At 52.9% G+C, this 18,893-nt stretch overlaps 1 pseudogene; it reads left to right on the top strand.

The window, feature by feature from the left end:
* Positions 445-17,968, top strand: AQP7P2 (aquaporin 7 pseudogene 2; annotated as a pseudogene).

Below are 18,893 nucleotides of genomic sequence, written 5' to 3'. Positions count from 1 at the left end.
TGCTCCTCAGACTAGGGGCCCTCGGAGGGCCAGGCCTGGGCTTCTACCTCCTCTCGCAGGCTGGTGTTTCTCTGCAAATATGGCTCGTGTGTCCTCCTTCCTCTCAGACTGGGGGCCCCTGAGGACTGGGCCTGAGTTTCCCTCTCCCCCTTCAGAATGGGGGTTCCCTGAGGACTGACCCAGGGCCTCCCCCCGTCCCCTCCATCTGGCTGTTAATCTCCAACACTTTCACCTCCAGTCCTATTCTGCACAGCGCTCCCCAGCGCTGGGAGCTCAGAGGCCTCTTCAGCCTTCCCCAGGGCTGGGGCTCAGGGAGGGCTTCCTCAGGCGCTGGCCCCAGAGTCAGGCTGCACATTGGCTTGGAGGACAGGCCTTTCCTCTGGGACTGTGAGGCCCAGAGTGCCCACCCAGAACTCCACCTCTGACCTCACAAAGGCCTGCTTCAGAACTCGGTCTCCACTGCACTGCTGGCCAGACGAGGGATGTTATTTTGGGCAGTGCATCTGGACTTGGTTCAAGTGGCACCAGCCAAATCCCTGCCTTACTGACCTCTCCCCTGGAGGAGCAGGAGCAGCGCTCAAGGCCGCCCTGGGAGGGCTGAGAGGCAGGCTCTGGACTGGGGACACAGGGATAGCTGAGCCCCAGCTGGGGGTGGAAGCTGAGCCAGGGACAGTCACAGAGGGACAAGATCAAGATGCGCTTTAACTGAGAAGCCCCCAAGGCAGAGGCTGAGAATCAGAAGACATTTCAGCAGAGTGAGTGGGGCTCCAGGCAGGGTGGGGATGGGGCAGCCTCCTCAGTGCCCAGATCTGGAAGGGCCATTCCCTGGGTACCATACAGCGAGGAGGTGACTGAGGGATTGTTTGGGGAAGGAGCCCCGGCTGGGAGTGGAAGTCCCGGCTTTCTTGTTATGGTGCAGTCCTGTGTTGCTGTGTGACACAGGCACATACACCTTCTCTCTGGGCCTCAGTTTCCTTACCTGTAAGTTGGTTGTTGGGAGGACCAGCGGTAGAGCAGAGATGGCAGGGATGCACTGGGCTGGGCTGTCAGCAGACCATGGGGGTGGGACGAGGAGAGAGCTGAAGACCACCGGCAGTGGACCACAGGGGGAGGCATGCAGGCCAGAGACGGGTCAGCTGCCGGCTTGCTGGAGTCATTCCTCCCACGCAGTCCCCTCCTGAGGGGCTGGAGCTGGGGCTGGAGGGTTTCAGCAGTCAGGGCTGGAGATAAGAGTCTGTGCTGGAGCTAGAGGGAACTGGGCTAGAGAATCAGGAGGACAGACAGGGTGAGGGGACTTCGGGCTACCTTCATGCTGTCAGTTAGAGATAAAGATAGGAGTACAAAGGGGAATTTTTGGGTGAGGTACACGGGTGAAATGAGTTTTCAGGGCCTCATCCTGTGTGTTCACCTTCTGTGTGTGTGTGTGTGTGTGTGTGTGTGTGTGTGTGCATGCGTGCATGTATGTGTGTGTGCAGGTCCTGGACAGTCACAGCTTAAGTTAGCAGCAAGAGAACTTGAGGTTAAAGGTATAGCACGCAAATATGAGGCTGGAGCCACTGAGTAGAGGCTGAGGGCATCTCCACAGTCCAAAGCTGGGCTGCAGACAGGGAAGGTCAGCAGGAGCACTGGAGGGTCTGGCCTGGGGTTGGGGTCCTGGGGCCAGCATGGGTGGGGTGGGGCTCCAGGGCGTCGCCTCATTGGCTGAGCACCGCTCCTCCCTCCCTGTTCCTTGGCTGGGTTAAGGGAGTGGCACTAGCAGGAGCTGCCCCAGGGCTTCTCCCCTGGGGACAAAGATCTGATGGAAGTGTGGGGCCAAGTTCTGTGTCCTCCAGCCCTAGTGACCTCTCTTTGGCTCCTCAGCATCTACAAATCTGAAGGACAAAACATGGTTCAAGCATCTGGGCACAGGCGGTAAGTACCCCACCCTCTTCTCACCCTCCAGCCCCCTGTCCTCCACCCAGCCCACTTCAGTGCCCTCCCTGCTCCATCCTCAGCCTCTCCCTTGGGGCAGCTGTCCCCCCTCGACCTCCTCCTCCCCACCCACCCACTCGCCTCTGAGGTCCCAGAAGAAAAGCATCTTCCACCTGTTGCCTGGGCTGGGTCCTGGGGTGAGGGGAGGCTCAGAAATACTTGGATGAGGGTCAAGGCATGCAGGTGGCCTTCAACTCAACTGCACTCAGCACCTCTCACCCTCTCAGGCTCAGCTGTCTTTGGGGTGAAAAAGAGCCAGTCCTTGCAATGGCCAAGGCCCTGCCTATGTAGTCCTTGTTAGCTTTCTGGCCTCCCCACTCCAGCCCCCTGCTCTCCCTCCTCCAGCCACACTGAGTTTCTTTTCTGGTTTTTTTTTTCTTTTCTTTTCTTTTTTTTTGAGATGGAATCCAGTTCTGTTGCCCAGGCTGGAGTGCAATGGCAAGATCTTGGTTCACTGCAACCTCCTTCTCCCGGGTTCAAGCGATTCTCTTGCTTCAGCCTCCTGAGTAGCTGGGATTACAGGATTACAGGCACACACTACCATGCCCAGCTAATTAGTTGTTTGTTTGTTTGTTTGTTTTTTTTGTATTTTTAGTAGAAATGGGGTTTCGCCATGTTCGCCAGGCTGTTCTTGAGCTCCTGACCTCAGGTGATCCACCCACCTCGGCCTCCCAAAAGGTTGGGATTACAGGTGTGAGCCACTGCACCTGGCCTCACACTGACTTTCTTTGCTTTCTTCAAACATGCTGAGAGTCCTCTGGTGACTATTCCCTCCATCTGAGAGGCTTTCTGCAGTTAACATACAGCCCACTCTCATCTCCTTCATGGCTTTGCTCCAAGGCCACCTTCTCAACAAGGATTACTCTGACTGCCCTATTTGAAATCACACCCCATCTCCAGCCCCTGCACTCCCAATTCCCCTCTCCTTGCTCTGTTTTTTCCCATAGGAGCTGGTACCTTCGCTTATACAAATGTACTTACTTATTACATTTCATTGCTGTCAGCTCCACGCAAGCAGGGATATTTGCCTGTTGTACACTTGGACGGAGAGAATGAATAGTGCCCCTCTGTTGACATCATTGCCTCTAGCCTACGTCTCTTTCCAGGGCTTTAGATCCTGTTTCTAGAGACCCACTGGTGTCTCACAGGCAACTCAGCTCCTAGATGGAAACAGCCTCCTCCGCCCCCCACAAGTCCACTCCTCCTGTGCTCTTGGCTCAGTCAGGGGTCCCCTTCTCTTCAGTTGCTCAAGCCAGAAGTCAAGGTCATGTCCTTGATACTTCCCTCTTCCCCATGCCTCACATCCAGTCACCAATCTCCTAAAATATCTAGAATGTGCACAGCTTCCACCATTCTTTCTACCACCACCCTACTCCTCCATGGCCATGTCAGGCCACCACCCGCCCATTCTTCAAAACTCCCTTCAGGCCTCACCTCCCATGCCTCCCCTGAGTTCCCCCAGTCCCAGGCTGCTTCTCTCTGGTGGTGTTGCCATTACCCATCTCTTCTATTAAACAGAGTGACCCAAGAGTGGAGAGTGGGTTTTGACTTTGTATCCCTGGTGCTTGACTCATAAGTAGGTGCTCAACAAAAATTTTTTCTTTTTTTGAGATGGAGTCTTGTTCTGTTGCCCATGCTGGAGTGCAGTGGCATGATCTCGGCTCACTGCAACTTCTGCTTCTTGGGCTCAAGCGATTCTCACATCTCAGCCCCCACCCCAGCTGGGATTACAGGTGCCTGCCACCACGCCCAGCTAATTTTTTTTTTATTTTTAGTGGAAATGGGGTTCTGCCATGTTGGCCAGGCTGGTCTTGAACTTCTGACCTCAAGTGATCCACCTGCCTCGGCCTCCTGAAGTGTTGGGATTACAGGCATGAGTCACCATGCCTGGCCAACAAATGTTTGTTGAATGAAGAAATGTTGGTTAGCAGGTTGAATTGTTGGCTCGTGGTTAGTTGGATAGTTTATGGTTGACTGGTTGATTAGATAATTCAATGAGTTAATAGCTGGTTAACAGGAGAATCAGTTAGTTGGTTTTTGATAGGTTAGTCAAAGGGTTAATAAGCCACCGGGCATGTTGGCTCATGCCTGAAATCCCTGCACCTTGGGAGGCTGAGGCTGGAGGATTGCTTGAGTCCAGGAGTTTGGGACCAGCTTGGGTAACATGGCAAAACCCCATCTCTACAAAAAATAGGAAAAAATAGCCGGTCATGGTGGCATGCTCCTGTAGTCCCAACTACTTGGGAGGCTGAGGTGGGAGGATCACTTGAACCCTGGGAAGTCTAGGCTTCAGTGAGCTGTGACTGTGCCACTGCACTTCAGCCTGGGCGACAGAGTGAGACCCTGTCTCAAAAAAAAAAAAAGAAAAAGAAAAAGAAAAGAAACAGGCGTTAGTGAGTTGTTAGCTATTTAGTTCCTTGGTTAACAGATTACTTAGGGGATCTAGTTGGCTGTCAGTTTCTTGCTTTGTAGGCTGGCTTTCTTGGGCCCCTCTTCTTAGTCTGTACCCTCTCCTTGAGCTCTCTCATCTATGCCCATGGCTCAGATGACCATCTGTGATTTGCTGTCCTCCAAATGTGTCTGTAAGTGAGACCACATGACCAGCTGCCTCCTCACTGGCCATCCCACCCAAGTGTCTAGCAGGCTCCTCACACTCAACATGTCCAGAAAGGGCCTCCTTGTCCATTCTTCCACAGCTTCTCTGCTGTGCCCCACGCTAGTCATTCCGCTGCCCTAGCCAGGACCTGAGGGCATCGCTGAGCTGCCCCGCTCCCTTCCCTCTCTAACCGAACACCAAGCCTGTCAGCTTGACTGTGTTCTTGTGGCCATTGGCACTGCCATCCTTGTGGCTCAGACTGCCACCACTTCTCCACCCATCTGTGGAGAAGCTGATGCTCACCCTGCCTCCACTCCACTTCCTCCATCCTGGCCTCCACAGGGGAGGCAGCTCTCCTGCTGAAACCCTCCACTTGGCCCATGGCCCTCTGGTAGAGTTCAGACTCCCTAATGTGGGCCATGAGGCCTTCTGCCACCTGGCCCTGGCCCCTCTCTGCCCATCTCATGCCACCTCCACTCCTCCGTGGCCAGCCCATTCCTGCACATTGGATACTGCCTTAGCTGCAGGCCTTTGCACATGCCGGTCCTACGCCCAGAGTGATCCCTGCCTCCCTGGAGGCTCCTTTACCCTCCAGCCTTCTTTTCTTGACCTGAATTTCCCTTTCTCTGGGAGCCTCCTACCCCCTCCTCTAGGCCATTCACTTCCTCCACATGCCCCACAGTGCCCACTCTTTCAGCTGGGGCAATGCTCATCACACTGCATAGTAATTGCTCAATTGATTGCTTTTCTTCCCACAGGCTGGATTGTACCAGTGTCCTTTACTGCAGTGACTGAACATTCTAGGCACAGTAGATTCAAGAAATCTTGAGTTCATTGGCTGGTTGGTGGTTATCTGTTGCTTACTGTGTCTTGCCTGCTGTGTGGTGATGAGGAAGGAGCCAGGCTTCCAGGATTCTCTTGGTGTTCTTGTCTTTCCGCTCTGTCCACTTCTCTCTCCTCTTCTGTGGTTACCTCCAGCATGGGAGGTGGGGTTGGATGGGAGCCAGTGGAGGGTCACCTCGCCCTGCTAGGGAGAGCAGCAGCATTCCTCAGGGCTCCTAAATTCCCCTGACCTCACAGCAGCAAAAAGTAAGCAGAGGGAATGAGAGACGTCCAGGCATGGAATAAAACATCTTCCACTTTTCAGCTGAGACCCTCTGTTCATGGCTCACCCATCCCAGTCCTTGCTCTATTCCTTACTCCAGAGAAACAAAACCAGGGATGAGTAGATGGAGGGGGATGCAGAGTTGCGCGGATATTCCACTGGCCCCCATCCAACTCCAGCTCCCATGCAGCATCGTATAGGGGTCTCATTATCCCATGACCAGCCTCCTCAGCCCTGAAGAAGAGACCCTATCAATGCAAGCAGCAGCCCAAAGACAGTCCTGGGAAGGTACCATAGAGGCAGGGGAGAGGTAGACAGAGCAGGGAGCCAAGAACACCAAGGGAATCCTGGAAGCCTGGCTCCTTTCTCATCAGCACAGAGCAGGCAACAACCAGCCAAGGAACCAAAGATTTATTGAATCTACTATGCCTACTATGTTCAGGCACTGCAGTGAAGCAAACTGGTATGATCCCAGCCCTTAGGAAGAAAAACCGTTAATTAATTAAGCTTTTTTTTTTTTTCTTTTTTGAGACAGGGTGTCGCTCTGTCACCCACGCTGGAGTGCAGTGGTGTGATCTCAGCTCACTGCAACCTCTGCCTTCTGGGCTCAGGCAATCCTCTCACATCAGCCTCCCCATTAGCTGGGACCACAGGCGTACACCACAACACCTGACTAATTTTTGTATTTTTTTTTTTTTGTAGAGATGAGGTTTTGTCATACTGCCCAGGCTGGTCTTGAACTCCTGGGCTCAAGCGATCAGCTCGCCTCAGCAAGTGCTGGGATTACAGGCGTGAGACACTGTGCCTGGCCTAACTGAGCAATTACTATGCAGTGTGATGAGCATTGCCCCAGCTGAAAGAGTGGGCACCGTGGGGCATGTGGAAGAAGTGAATGGCCTAGAGGAGAGGGTAGGAGGCTCTCCCAGAGAAAGGGAAATTTAGGTCAAGAAAAGAAGGCTGGCGGGTAAAGGAGCCTCTGGGGAGGCAGGGGACCATTCTCGGTGTAGGACTGGCATGTGCAAAGGCCTGCAGCTAAGGCAGTACGTGATATGCAAGGATGGGCTGGCCAGAGGAGTTGAGGGGCTGGTGTCAGCTTCCGGGCATGCAGACAGTGAGATAGCAGAGTGACTAAGGCCACACTTAGAGGTATCTGTATCCCTCTTCTTCCTCTTTTTTTTTTTTTTTTTTTTTTTTGAGATGGAGTCTCGCACTTGTTGCCCAGGCTGGAGTGCAGTGGCAAGATCTCGGCTCACCACAACCTCCATCTCCCATGTTCAAGTGATTCTCCTGCCTCAGCCTCCGAAGTAGCTGGGATTACAGGCATGCGCCACCATGCCTGGCTAATTTTGTATTTTTTAGTAGAGATAGGGTTTCTCTATGTTGGTCAGGCTGGTCTCGAACTCCTGACCTCAGGTGATCTGCCCACCTTGGCCTCCCAAAGTGCTGGGATTATAGGTGTGAGCTACCGGGCCCAGCCCCTCTTCTTCCTCTTTATCCTCCAGTCCCACCCCGCCACCTTCCCCAAACTCCAGTCCTATACCTCTCCCTATACGCAGATTTGGAACCTGTTACTCACCTGTTTCATCTACCTTTCCATCTAACCGTGCACTTAACTAAATACAAATCAAGTGCCAGGCCCTTTGGCAAGCTCTGAGGATCTAGTTGGGAGTAAGACAGATTCCCCAGTTTTCACCCATTCAACAAATACTTATTGCACATCTACTATGTGCCTGGCATGGTGCTGGGCACTGAAGATACACCAGGAAGTAGATCCAGTCCTTCCTTTTCTCCCTCCCGCTCTCTTGGTCATTCATTCATTCATTCACTCACTCTCTCACAAACCTCTGTTTGTACTGACCTGGTTGCACAGCCTGGTGCATTTTGCTGACCCCTTCATTTTTGACAGAACCTGGCACATGTTTCAGTGCTCAGTGCTGTTTACAGAGCTCGGCAGCAGACTTTGTCACACTTCATGCTGTTTGTAGAGTGCCTCACTGTTGCCAGGCCCTGGCCTGTGACCCCAAAGTTCTGGCTCTAGCAGATAGGCAGACAGACAGATGGACAGACATAGACTACTGAGCTCTACTTTCCAGCCTGCTCTCTCCCACCCTACTTTTTCCCAGAGGCTTGTTGGCACCGTGGATTGCACTTTCAGCTCCCCACCTGTCCGTCTGCAAAGTGGCCTCATTGGTGTGCCATTTTTACTGGTCCAGTCCCAACTACAAGGGGCATGGCTTGGCCATCTACCCCAGTTCCTCTCCATGTCCCCATGGCTCTCAAGTGTCTCCAATTCCAGCTGTCCCAGCTGCCCCGGGCAAGAGGAGGTGTGTGTGGCAAGTCTGCTGGGTTACCTATTAACTCAGCTGTGAGTTGAAGAGCCGATGGGCAGCAGGCAGACTTGAGTCTCCTTTCTGTCCATGAGCTCGGGCCACTGTATCAGGTCCACCCGTGGCTCCAAAATGGTCTCCTGGTCCGTGATAGCAAAGATCCAGGAAATATGATGCGAGGAAGATGAGAGGAAGATGGCGCGAGAGTTCCTGGCCGAGTTCATGAGCACATATGTCATGATGGTGAGTGGGCGGGCAGCACGAAGTGGGTGGGCTCTGCCAGGGCCTTCCATGACCCCCTCCCCATTCTGACCCCATGGGTCACATTGTCCATTCCTTGCCTCTGAGCTGGGAGCCTGGGGAAGCAGCGAGGAAAGTAAGGGGGGGGGGGCTTTCTCATCAAGTCTTTTTGGACAGAAAGGGCTCATAATATGTGGGGGTCAAATGAAACCATGCACTGGGGTATCCGGGGCAAGGCTGGAAATGGGGAGAAGGGAAACCCAGAGTAAAGAGATTGAAGAGGCCCAGGTGCAGTGGCTCATGCCTGTAATTCCAGCACTTTGGGAGGCTTAGGCAAGTGGATCACCTGAGGTCAGGAGTTCGAAACCAGCCTGGCCAACATGGTGAAACCCCGTCTCTACTAAAAATACAAAAATTAGCTGGGCATGGTGGCGGACACCTGTAACCTCAGTTATTCAGGAGGCTGAGGCAGGAGAATCGCTTGAGCCCAGGAGGTGGAGGTTGCAGTGAGCTGAGATCACACCATTGCACTCCAGCCTGGGTGACAGGAGCAAAACTCTGTCTCAAAAAAAAAAAAAAAAAAGAAAAAAGAGAGAGAGATTGAAGAGAAACTTGATGATCAGGCTCTGATAATGAATCCAGAGGGCAATGGGCGATGTTGAAGGCTGGCAAGCAGGGGAGTGACATGATCAGATTTGGATTTTAAAGGTAATTTTGGGTGCAGTGTGGAGCATAAGCAGGACAGGCAAGGCTGGCAAGAAGGAACCAGTTAAGAGGCTGTTTTTGATCTGGGACAGAGAGAGGGTGATGACTGATCTGGGGTTGGAGAAGAAAGCACATGTTTGAGAGGGCTGTGGAAGATGGAATCGGGGAGACTCTGCCAGAAGAACATGTGGGCAAAGCGCCGATGAGCTGTTCTGGAGCACGGGGCCCAGCACAGGGTGAGAGGCAAGATGCCTGTAGGGAAATCCAGGAGATAGTTAAACACAGGCAAGGGGCTGGAGCTCAGGAGAGGCTTGGTCTGGAAGGAAAAAGTTGAAGTTCATCACAACACAGGTGGTGGTTGTCAACACTGTCTAGAAGGAGTGTACAGAAAGAGAAAAGGATGGTTTGAGGACAGAGCCCTGAGGAATGAAGAGGGGCACGCAAAGGAGCCTGAGAAGGAATGGTCAGAGAGGTGGGAGGAGAACCAGAGCCGACTGCATGACAGAGGGGGGCAGTGGTTCCACCAGGAAGAAGCCATCAGCGGCATGGGCAGCGGCAGATGGGCCACGCAAGGTGAGCACTGGCAAGGGGCCTTAGGGTTTGCCAATGTGGAGGTTGCTGGTAACCTTGACAAGGGCTCTTCTTTAGTGTGTGATTGGGACAGAATCCAGACTGCAGGTGGGATGTGAGGTTGCTCCCTCTCCACCTGCTTCAGCCCTGCCACTTACCCCAGTGAGCCTCTGCCCTTAACATGACTGTAGCCATGTTTATTGCATCTTATGCAGGGTCCAGGGTCTAGAGAAAGAAGGGGCAGCCTCTGGGAAGGGAGGCAAAGGCAGCCAGGTGCATGCTAGAGGAAGGTGGGGTGACAGAGGCTGTTCGTGTGTGTGGTGGGGCCCATGGAGCTCAAGGGAGAGAGGAAATTGGAACACCAGGTTTCTTAGCCTGACCCTGCCACTGAGTGACCAGTTGCCTTGGGCAGGTCTCTCCCTGGCTTAAAGCCTGACTTCTCACTTATATCGTGTAGAATTAGGCCTTCGTGGGCTTTGGAGCTGTGTTTGAATCCTAGCTCTGTTATCTTCTAGCTGTGCGACTATCCACAAGTATCTTAACTGTTCACAAATTTAGCTTTCTTGTTTTTGAGACAGGGTCTCACTCTGTCTCCTAGGATGGAGTGCAGTGGTACGATCTCAGCTCACTGCAGCCCCCACCTCCCATACTCAAGTGACTCTCTTGCCTCAGCCTCTTGAGTAGCTGGGACTACAGGCATGTGCCACTGTGCTCAGCTAATTTTTCTATTTTTAGTAGAGATGGGGTTTCACCATGTTGGCCAGACTGGTCTCGAACTCCCGAATTCAGGTGACCTTCCTGCCTCGGCCTCCCAAAGTGCTGGGATTGCTGGCGTGAGTCACCTCTCCCGGCCCACAACTTTAGCTTCCTTATTGGTTAACAGGAGGACTTGTGTGAAGAAGGCCAAGTCTCAGCACCCAGTGTGGTACCCATGTATTGGTCCCTTGTTATTAGGACGGGTGCTCTAGCTGCTGTCTCCTCTCTGTCTCTGGCCCTCCCCTACTCCTCTCTTACCTCTCCACCTGCTTTGGCTCCTGAGCTGTGAGGACAGCAGTTGGATCCTGTCCCTCCTTAATCCAGGGCAAAGTAATTCACTTACCACAAGACATTCCAGCCCCATGAGGGCTGTTAACCCTTGGAGCCTCGGAGGCAGGAGGGTGCATCCTCTGAGAGCTGTTAGGGAAATAGGCACCGCCCACATGCTTGATACCTGCCCACATCTGTGTTCCTCTTCCTTTTGTTGAGATTTTCATTGAGCACCTAATGCATCCCGGGCTCTGTGATGCTAAGCCCCTTACGTGCAGCATCTTCCCAAATCCTCGCAATAGCCCTGTGAAGTAGGTACTATTATTATCCCAGTTTCACAGATGGGAAAACTGAGGCTCCTTGAGACTAAGCCTTTTGCCCAAGGTCACACTTTAAGTCAAGATTAAATCCAGTGCAGTCTAATATCACAGTCTTTTTTGTTTTTGTTTTTGTTTTTTTGAGATACAGTCTTGCTTTGTCACAGTGGTGCAATCTCGGCTCACTGCAACCTCTACCTCCTGGGTTCAAGCGATTCTTGCATCTCAGCCTCTGGAGTAGCTGGAATTACAGGTGCATGCCACCATGCCCAGCCAATTTTTGTATTTTTAGGAAAGACAAGGTTTCACCAAGTTGTCAAGGCTGGTCTTGAACTCCTGACTTCAAGTGATCCTCCCACCTCGGCCTCCCAAAGTGCTGGGATTACAGGCATGAGTCACCGTGCCCAGCCCAATATCACAGTCTTGACCCTTAACCTCTATGCTCTGTACCTTAGCTTAAATATTGCCAGCTTTTAAAGACTGGCTTGTTAATGCTCCCCCAGCCAGGGTAAAGTCCTCACTTTCAGGTAGTTCAAGATGCCTCTCTCGGCCTCAGTTTCCCCATTTATAGAGTGGGAGAAAAATTCTTGCTGTGCAGATTTGTTGTGAGGATTGAAGACAGTAGCACTTGTAAAAGAACTTTGTGAGGCGTAAGCCTATATCGGATATTGTGGTGTTGTTATTTTTAGTTGCCAGGCTGTGCCAAGAAGTGAGGGCTTTTTTTTTTTTTTTGTAAATATATATATAGGAATCTCAGTGAGTCACCAGGGTGAAGTTTTGCCAAAAAAGCTAGTGTGACCTTGGCCCCATTTATTGCAGCCAGGACAAGGGAAGTGGACTGATCCGTGTTGCAGCTTCCAGGTGTGTTGCCCTTGGAGCTGGCCTCCTGGCTGTGGGGGAGAGTTGGATGGGCTGGGCCACATTCACTGATCAGGGAGAGGAGGGGCTGGAGCCATCCGGGCCCTGGAAAACCAGCCATACACATGAGACACGGGGCAAGGGTTGTAGATCACATGCTACGGGGGCCAAGAGAGCGGCAACTCAGGGCGGTGGGGACTTTGGCTGGCTGCAGAGTGCCAATCTGTGCAAGGCTGTAGAGCTGCTGCCACTCCAGCTGACTGTTGCCATGGAGGGTGGAATGCAGGCCAGTGTTGCTTGAGCTGCTCATTTTTCAAGAGAGACGAAAACTTCTGTTCTTCAAAACCAAGTTATCTAAACAAAATCTGTGCGCTGGATGAATTAGGTGCATGAGTTGCCAGTTGGCAACCCTGACACAAGGAATCATGTGGGGTTCATTCACTCACCCAGTATTTTATTTTATTTATTTTATTTTTTTGAGACAGAGTCTCACCCTGTTGCCCAGGCTGGAGTGCAGTGGTGTGATCTCAGCTCACTGCTCTGCCTCCCGGGTTCAAGTGATTCTCCTGCCTCAGCCTGCCGAGTAGCTGGGATTACAGGCATGTGCCACCACACCTGGCTAATTTTTTGTATCTTTAGTAGAGACGGGGTTTCACCATGTTGGCTAAGCAGGTCTCAAACTCCTGACCTCATGATCGGCCTGCCTCGGTCTCCCAAAGTGCTGGGATTACAGGCGTGAGCCACCACACCCGGCCTATGCTCATCCAGTATTTTTAGCACATGGTATTGGAATGCGGGAAAGGCCATGGGGGCCCCTCTGTTTTCAGACCCTCCATGCCTCCTCCAGTCCCTCTACCTCTTGACCCTGCCAGCCTGTCAACCTGTCCTGACCTCACTCCCCCCTGCACCCCCATCTGTTCCTGTCCTCTCCTGCTGTATCTTATCCTGGATCTGAAGCCAGCCTAGCTCTGGGCTCCCCTGCTCCTGTCCTGGGGCTTCTGAGGGACCCAGTGGGCCCTGCTCAGCTGCCTCTCCCCCACCATATCTGGGCTATTTCACATTTTCTCAGACTTCCCCAAAGCTGCTCTGTACTCTTTTTTTTTTTTAAATCAGCAAATGGCTTGATCTGCTGCTTGATAGGTAAAATAATCAACACTTCCTATGTTCAGCTCACCCTCTTGTCCCTCTTACCACCAGACCCATTAACCACCCGTGTATCCACATATCACCCCTTGGCTGGGGTGGGGTCCTCTCCTTCCTGGAGGACACCTCCACTTCTGCACCAATCCAGCTGTCCAGCCTATTCAGGTACTTTACTCTGTCCTTTTTCTCTGTCCTTTATCTTCAGCCCATCCCTCTCTCAGCCTATAAACATACTGAAGTTTCTCCACTGAAAACAACACAAAATGAAACATCCCTCCCTTCACCCTGTCAGCCCCTTCACGGGATCATGTTCTCTCTTCCCCGCTCCTCAGGCGAATTCTCAAAGAGGAGTCTACACTGGTGCCTTTCAACTCTTTTTTTTTTCTTTTTTTGAGATGGAGTCTTGCTCTGTCGCCCAGGCTGGAGTGCAGTGGTGTGATCTCAGATCACTGCAAGCTCCACCTCCTGGGTTCAAGCAATTCTCCTGTCTCAGCCTCCTGAGTAGCCGGGATTACAGGCAAGCACCACCACGCCTGGCTAATTTTTGTATTATTAGTAGAGACGGGGTTTTGTCATGCTGGTCTTGAACTCCTGACCTAAAGTGATCCATCCACCTCGGCCTTCCAAAGTGCTGGGATTACAGGCATGAGCCACCGCACCTGGCCTGGTCTGCCTTCTTACCTTGTACCCTCTCCTGGGGCCTTCTCCTCTGTCGGCTTTGACTTTGGCCCTTATGTCTACAATTCTTCAGGTTTTCTCCTTTATCAACTCTAGAACAGAGTTCTCCAGGGGAAATACAATACAAGCCATCTGTATAATTTAATTTTTTCTAGTATCCACATTAAAAAGGTAAAAAGCAACAGGTGAAATTAATTTTAATAATTAACCCATATAGCCAAAATCCTATTTCAAGATGCAATCAATGTAAAATTATTAGGATATTCTGGCCAGGCATGGTGGCTCACACCTGTAATCCCAGCACTCTGGGAGGCTGAGGTGAGAGGATTGCTTAAGGCCAGGAGCTCGAGACCAGCCCGGGCAACATAGTGAAACCTCATCTCTACACAAAATAAATTGAAAAACTTAGCTGGGATAGGGCTCAATGGCTCATGCCTGTAATCCCAGCACTTTGGGAGGCCAAGGCAGGCTGATCATCTGAGGTCAGGTGTTTGAGACCAGTCTGGCCAACATCGTGAAACCCTGTCTCTACTAAAAATACAAAAAAATAGTTGGGCATGGTGGCATGCACCTATAATCTCAACTACTCGGGAGGCTAAGGCAGGAGAATCACTTGAACCCGGGAGTTGGAGGTTGCAGTGAGCCGAGATTGCGCCATTGCACTCCGGCTTGGGCGACAGAGCAAGACTGTCTCAAAAAAAAAAAAAAAAAAATTGGCTGCGTGTCGAGGCACATGCCCATAGTCCCAACTACTTGAGAGGCTGAGGTGGGAGTATCACTTGAGCCCAGGAGATGGAGGCTGCAATGAGCCCTGATCATGGCACTGCACTCCAGCCTGGGTGATAGAGCAAAACCCTATCTCAAGCATCAAACAAACAAACAAATAAAACAGAGGCACAAGAAAGCAAGGCATGCATGGAGCAGCGCAGTTGTTTGGTTTGAGGCCATCTGGCACAGGTAACTGCCTGGATTTAATCCTGGCTCACCATGTACAGGCTGTGTGACCTTGGACAAGCCATTCAAGTTCTCTAAGCTTCAGATTACCCATCTGTCAAGTGGGGGAGAATAATAGTGCTTAACTATCATTTGCAACATCTGAGTTTCTGGCTCGGCCAACGGGGATGGGGAACATAGAGTGAGGAGCAGGTGTGCTGTGAGATGGCGAACCTTCAACAGAGCCTGAGACGTCCGTGGAACACCAGGAGAGTTGCAGTGGGGATTTGCAAATAGGCATCTGGCTCCCCCACGGAGATGACGGGAATTTCAGCGCATCAGGCATAGCTGAGACTGTCTACGTGGTAAAACCATGCCTGAAAAGACCTTTGGAAAATCAGGAGGTTGCTGGAGCCCTTGGAGAGAGCTTTGGTGTCTGTGACATGTGGAAATGGAAGCCAGATTGAGGAGGGGGTGCGAGGGAAGGGGTGAAGCAGCTGGCCAGTGTGTTCTCTCCTGCAGCCTGACTGAAACAGGGAGGGGGCAACCAGGAACCCACAGCTGGAGAAGGACACTGGGCAGGGGTGGGACAGTTTGCTGGGAAGGATGAGACTCCAGTGTGTGGGAACCGATCAATGGGAGGATGGAAGGTATGGGGGAGACGGAGGCCTCTGCAGAGGGAGAGGATAGCACAGGAGCCAGGGCTGAAGGGAACAGTGGCTCTAGACTGAGGGTAATGGGCCTGAAGGTAGGCCCCTTCCCCTGTGAAGGCAGCATTATCTGAGGAGCCGTGAGGGATGGGCAAGAAGCAGCAGCTTGGGAATGCCGCCTGAGGTCAGTGGAAATGAAGCTGAGGGCAAGACAGTTAGGGCCCCACTGTTCCAGCATTGTGGGAATTGCGGTGGAGTGTGTGTGTGTAGGGAGGGGTTCCTGGCAGAGTCAGGCATGGATGGATTTGGAGGTCCCTTGAAGAAACTTCCTTCAGGTCAGCCTGAAGTGTGAGGGACTCTGAGGGGGTGCAATGCATGCCAGCCATCCCCTCCTCGCAGCCCTGCCTCACCCCAAAACTTCAGGTGGGCCTGGGGCTGAGGTGCTTGGATGTTTGTAGTAAGAGCTTCTAACTCTGCCGCTCCACCCGGCTCTCAGTGGCTCAGGTCTGAGAGGCCTCAGCAGGGGCAAGGAGAGGAGGCAGTGAGGAGGGAAGGCTCTGGAGGAAGAGGGCATGGCAGAGGGTCTTCGAGGCAACGCCAGGGAGGCCCAGGGCATGGGGGTGAGGAGCTAGAACTGAGCTCTGAGCCCTCCTCTGAGGTTGGGGTTTCTGGGCAGGCAGCCCCCTTAGAGGCCCTCCCTTGTAGGTATTCGGCCTTGGTTCCGTGGCCCATATGCTTCTAAATAAAACATTTGGGAGCTACCTTGGTGTCAACTTGGGTTTTGGCTTCGGAGTCACCATGGGAGTGCACATGGCAGGCCGCACCTCTGGTGAGTGAGCCCAGGCCCTGCCGGACCGGGCAAGACCAGGTGTCCCCAACAGGCTCTTTCCTGCCCGCCTCAGCCAGCTCCTTTGCCAGCACAGCCAGTGCCTCAGCCTGGCCACCGGGCGGGAGGAAGTCTCCTCTGAACCCCGTGCCTATGACGTGTCTGCCCCAGATTCTTCCTGGCCCCCCCGACCTACCATTTTCACTGGCTGGGTGATCTTAGGCAAGCCATCGCCTCTGTGTTCCTCAGTTTCCTTAAGAGTGAAAGGAAGACGGTGGCCCCTGCCTCACGGGGTGGTTGTGAGGGCTCAAGGAGAGAACTCTGTCACGGAGCATGCTGTCATACACACTAGCCATCGTTGTTCTCATACTGTTTGTCACTGTTGTTTGTTCTGCTCTCACTCCCTGACACACTTGCCTGCTGCCCGCAGGAGCCCACATGAACGCAGCTGTGAGCCTCACTAACTGTGCACTGGGCCGTGTGCCCTGGAGGAAGTTTCCAGTCTATGTGCTGGGGCAGTTCCTGGGCTCCTTCCTGGCAGCTGCCACCATCTACAGTCTCTTCTACAGTGAGCGTCCTGCCCGGGTGTCCGCCTCTGGCCTCAGCTGCCTCCTATGAAATATGGGCAGATTGGACCTCAGTGTCCTGATTTGTAAAAAATAGCTGGGAGAAAAAAGCCTTGGAGGTCTCCCACCCTCTAACCTATAACCTAATTTCCGGGACCCTGGTGGGGCTTAGTTGGGGACAGGTTCGCATGATAGTCTGTGTCTCCACAGCGGCCATTCTCCACTTTTCGGGTGGAGAGCTGATGGTGACCGGTCCCGTTGCTACAGCTGGCATTTTTGCCAACTACCTTCCTGATCACATGACATTGTGGCGGGGCTTCCTGAATGAGGTCAGTGGTCCAGGATGAGTACCCCTCCCCCTGCCCTCCACCCCTCAGGACGGAGCCAGCAGGGAGTCCCTCCGGATAGACAGGACAAGAACTCTGGATGGAGACTGTACCAAGATGTGTCTCTGCTGGTGGGCTTGGGTCTGGGGAACTGCCGAGGTCCTGTGGCTTGGGGAGGGGCCCAGGTGAGCTTCCACAGCATCTGCTCCTCAGGAGTGGCTGACCGGGATGCTCCAGCTGTGTCTCTTCGCCATCGTGGACCAGGAGAACAACCCAGCACTGCCAGGAACACACGCACTGGTGATAGGCATCCTCGTGGTCATCATCAGGGTGTACCATGGCATGAACACAGGATATGCCATCAATCCGTCCCGGGACCTGCCCCCCCCGCATCTTCACCTTCATTGCTGGTTGGGGCAAACTGGTCTTCAGGTACTGCCCCTGCCCAGGCCCATTCCTTTGAGATTTTCTGTGGGGCCCCTGTGTGTTGAGGTGTGGGGGGTGATGTGAGGGGCAGCACAGGAGGGTCCTGCAGAGCCCCCAGGTGGCCTGGGGAGCAGGAGTGAGTCCCAACATTTCCCCAGGCCAGTACAGATACAGATCCTGCACCTGCACTGAGTGTCAACCCTGTCCCTGAATCGGGCTGAGGCTGACCAGGGCCCCGGGTTGGGGGTGTTTCCTGGGTTAGCCTGAGGATGACTCCTCTGCTCAACCAGTCTTGGCCCGAGGTGGATGAGGGTGCTGTCCTGGGCATCAGCCCCCTCAGCCGGCCTCTGCCTCTTGCCTGCAGCGATGGGGAGAACTTGTGGTGGGTGCCAGTGGTGGCACCACTTCTGGGTGCCTCTCTAGGTGGCATCATCTACCTGGTCTTCATTGGCTCCACCATCCCACGGGAGCCCCTGAAATTGGAGGACTCTGTGGCATATGAAGACCACGGAATAACCGTATTGCCCAAGATGGGATCTCATGAACCCATGATCTCTCCCCTTACCCTCATCTCCGTGAGCCCTGCCAACAGATCTTCAGTCCACCCTGCCCCACCCTTACATGAATCCATGGCCGTAGAGCACTTCTAAGCAGAGATTATTTGTGATCCCATCCCTTCCCCAATAAAGAGAAGCTTGTCCCACAGCAGTACCCCCACTTCCTGGGGGCCTCCTGTGGTTGGGCTTCCCTCCTGGGTTCTTCCAGGAGCTCTAGGGCTATGTCTTAGCCCAAGGTGTAGAGGTGAGGCACCTCAAGTCTTTCATGCCCTGGGAACTGGGGTGCCCCAGGGGGAGAATGGGGAAGAGCTGACCTGCGCCCTCAGTAGGAACAAGGTAAGATGAAAGAATGACAGAAACAGAATGAGGGATTTTCAGGCAAGGGGGAAGGAAGGGCAGTTTTGGTGAAAGGACTGTAGCTGACTGGTGGGGGGCTGGCTTTGGAAATACTTTGAGGGGATCCTGAGACTGGACTCTAGACTCTCCCCTGGTTGTTCCCTTCCCCGAGTTCTGGCCGGTTCTTGGACCAGACAAGGCATGGCCCAAGAAGGTAGATCAGAATTTTTTAGCCTTTTTTTCATTAGTGCCTTCCCTAGTATTCTTCCAGATTTTTTTTCTTAATCACATGAAATTTTAATACCACAGATATACTATACATCTGTTTATGTTCTGTATATGTTCTGTGCTTTATACGTAAAAAAGAGTAAGATTTTTTTTCACCTCCCCTTTTAAGAATCAGTTTTAATTCCCTTGAGAATGCTTGTTATAGATTGAAGGCTGGTAAGGGGTTGGGCTCCTCTTTCTTCTTCCTGGTGCCAGAGTGCTCCCACATGAAGGAATAGGAAAGGAAGATGCAAAGAGGGAAATCCTTCGAACACATGAAGACACAGGAAGAGGCCTCTTAGGGCTCCAAGGGCTCCAGGGAAGCAGCTGCAGAGGTTGGGTGGGGTGAGGGGCCAGGGTCCACTGACCCTGGGGCCAGGCAGGAATCACTCTGTTGCCTGGGGCTCAGAAGGCAGTATCACCCATGGTTCCTGTCATTGCTCATGTATTTTGCCTTTCAACAATTATTG

This window comes from Homo sapiens, chromosome 9, assembly GCF_000001405.40.
Source record: "Homo sapiens chromosome 9, GRCh38.p14 Primary Assembly".
NCBI classification, from domain to species: domain Eukaryota; kingdom Metazoa; phylum Chordata; class Mammalia; order Primates; family Hominidae; genus Homo; species Homo sapiens.
The sequence above is the reverse complement of the archived record's forward strand: the minus strand, read 5'-3'. Positions and strand labels throughout refer to the sequence as shown.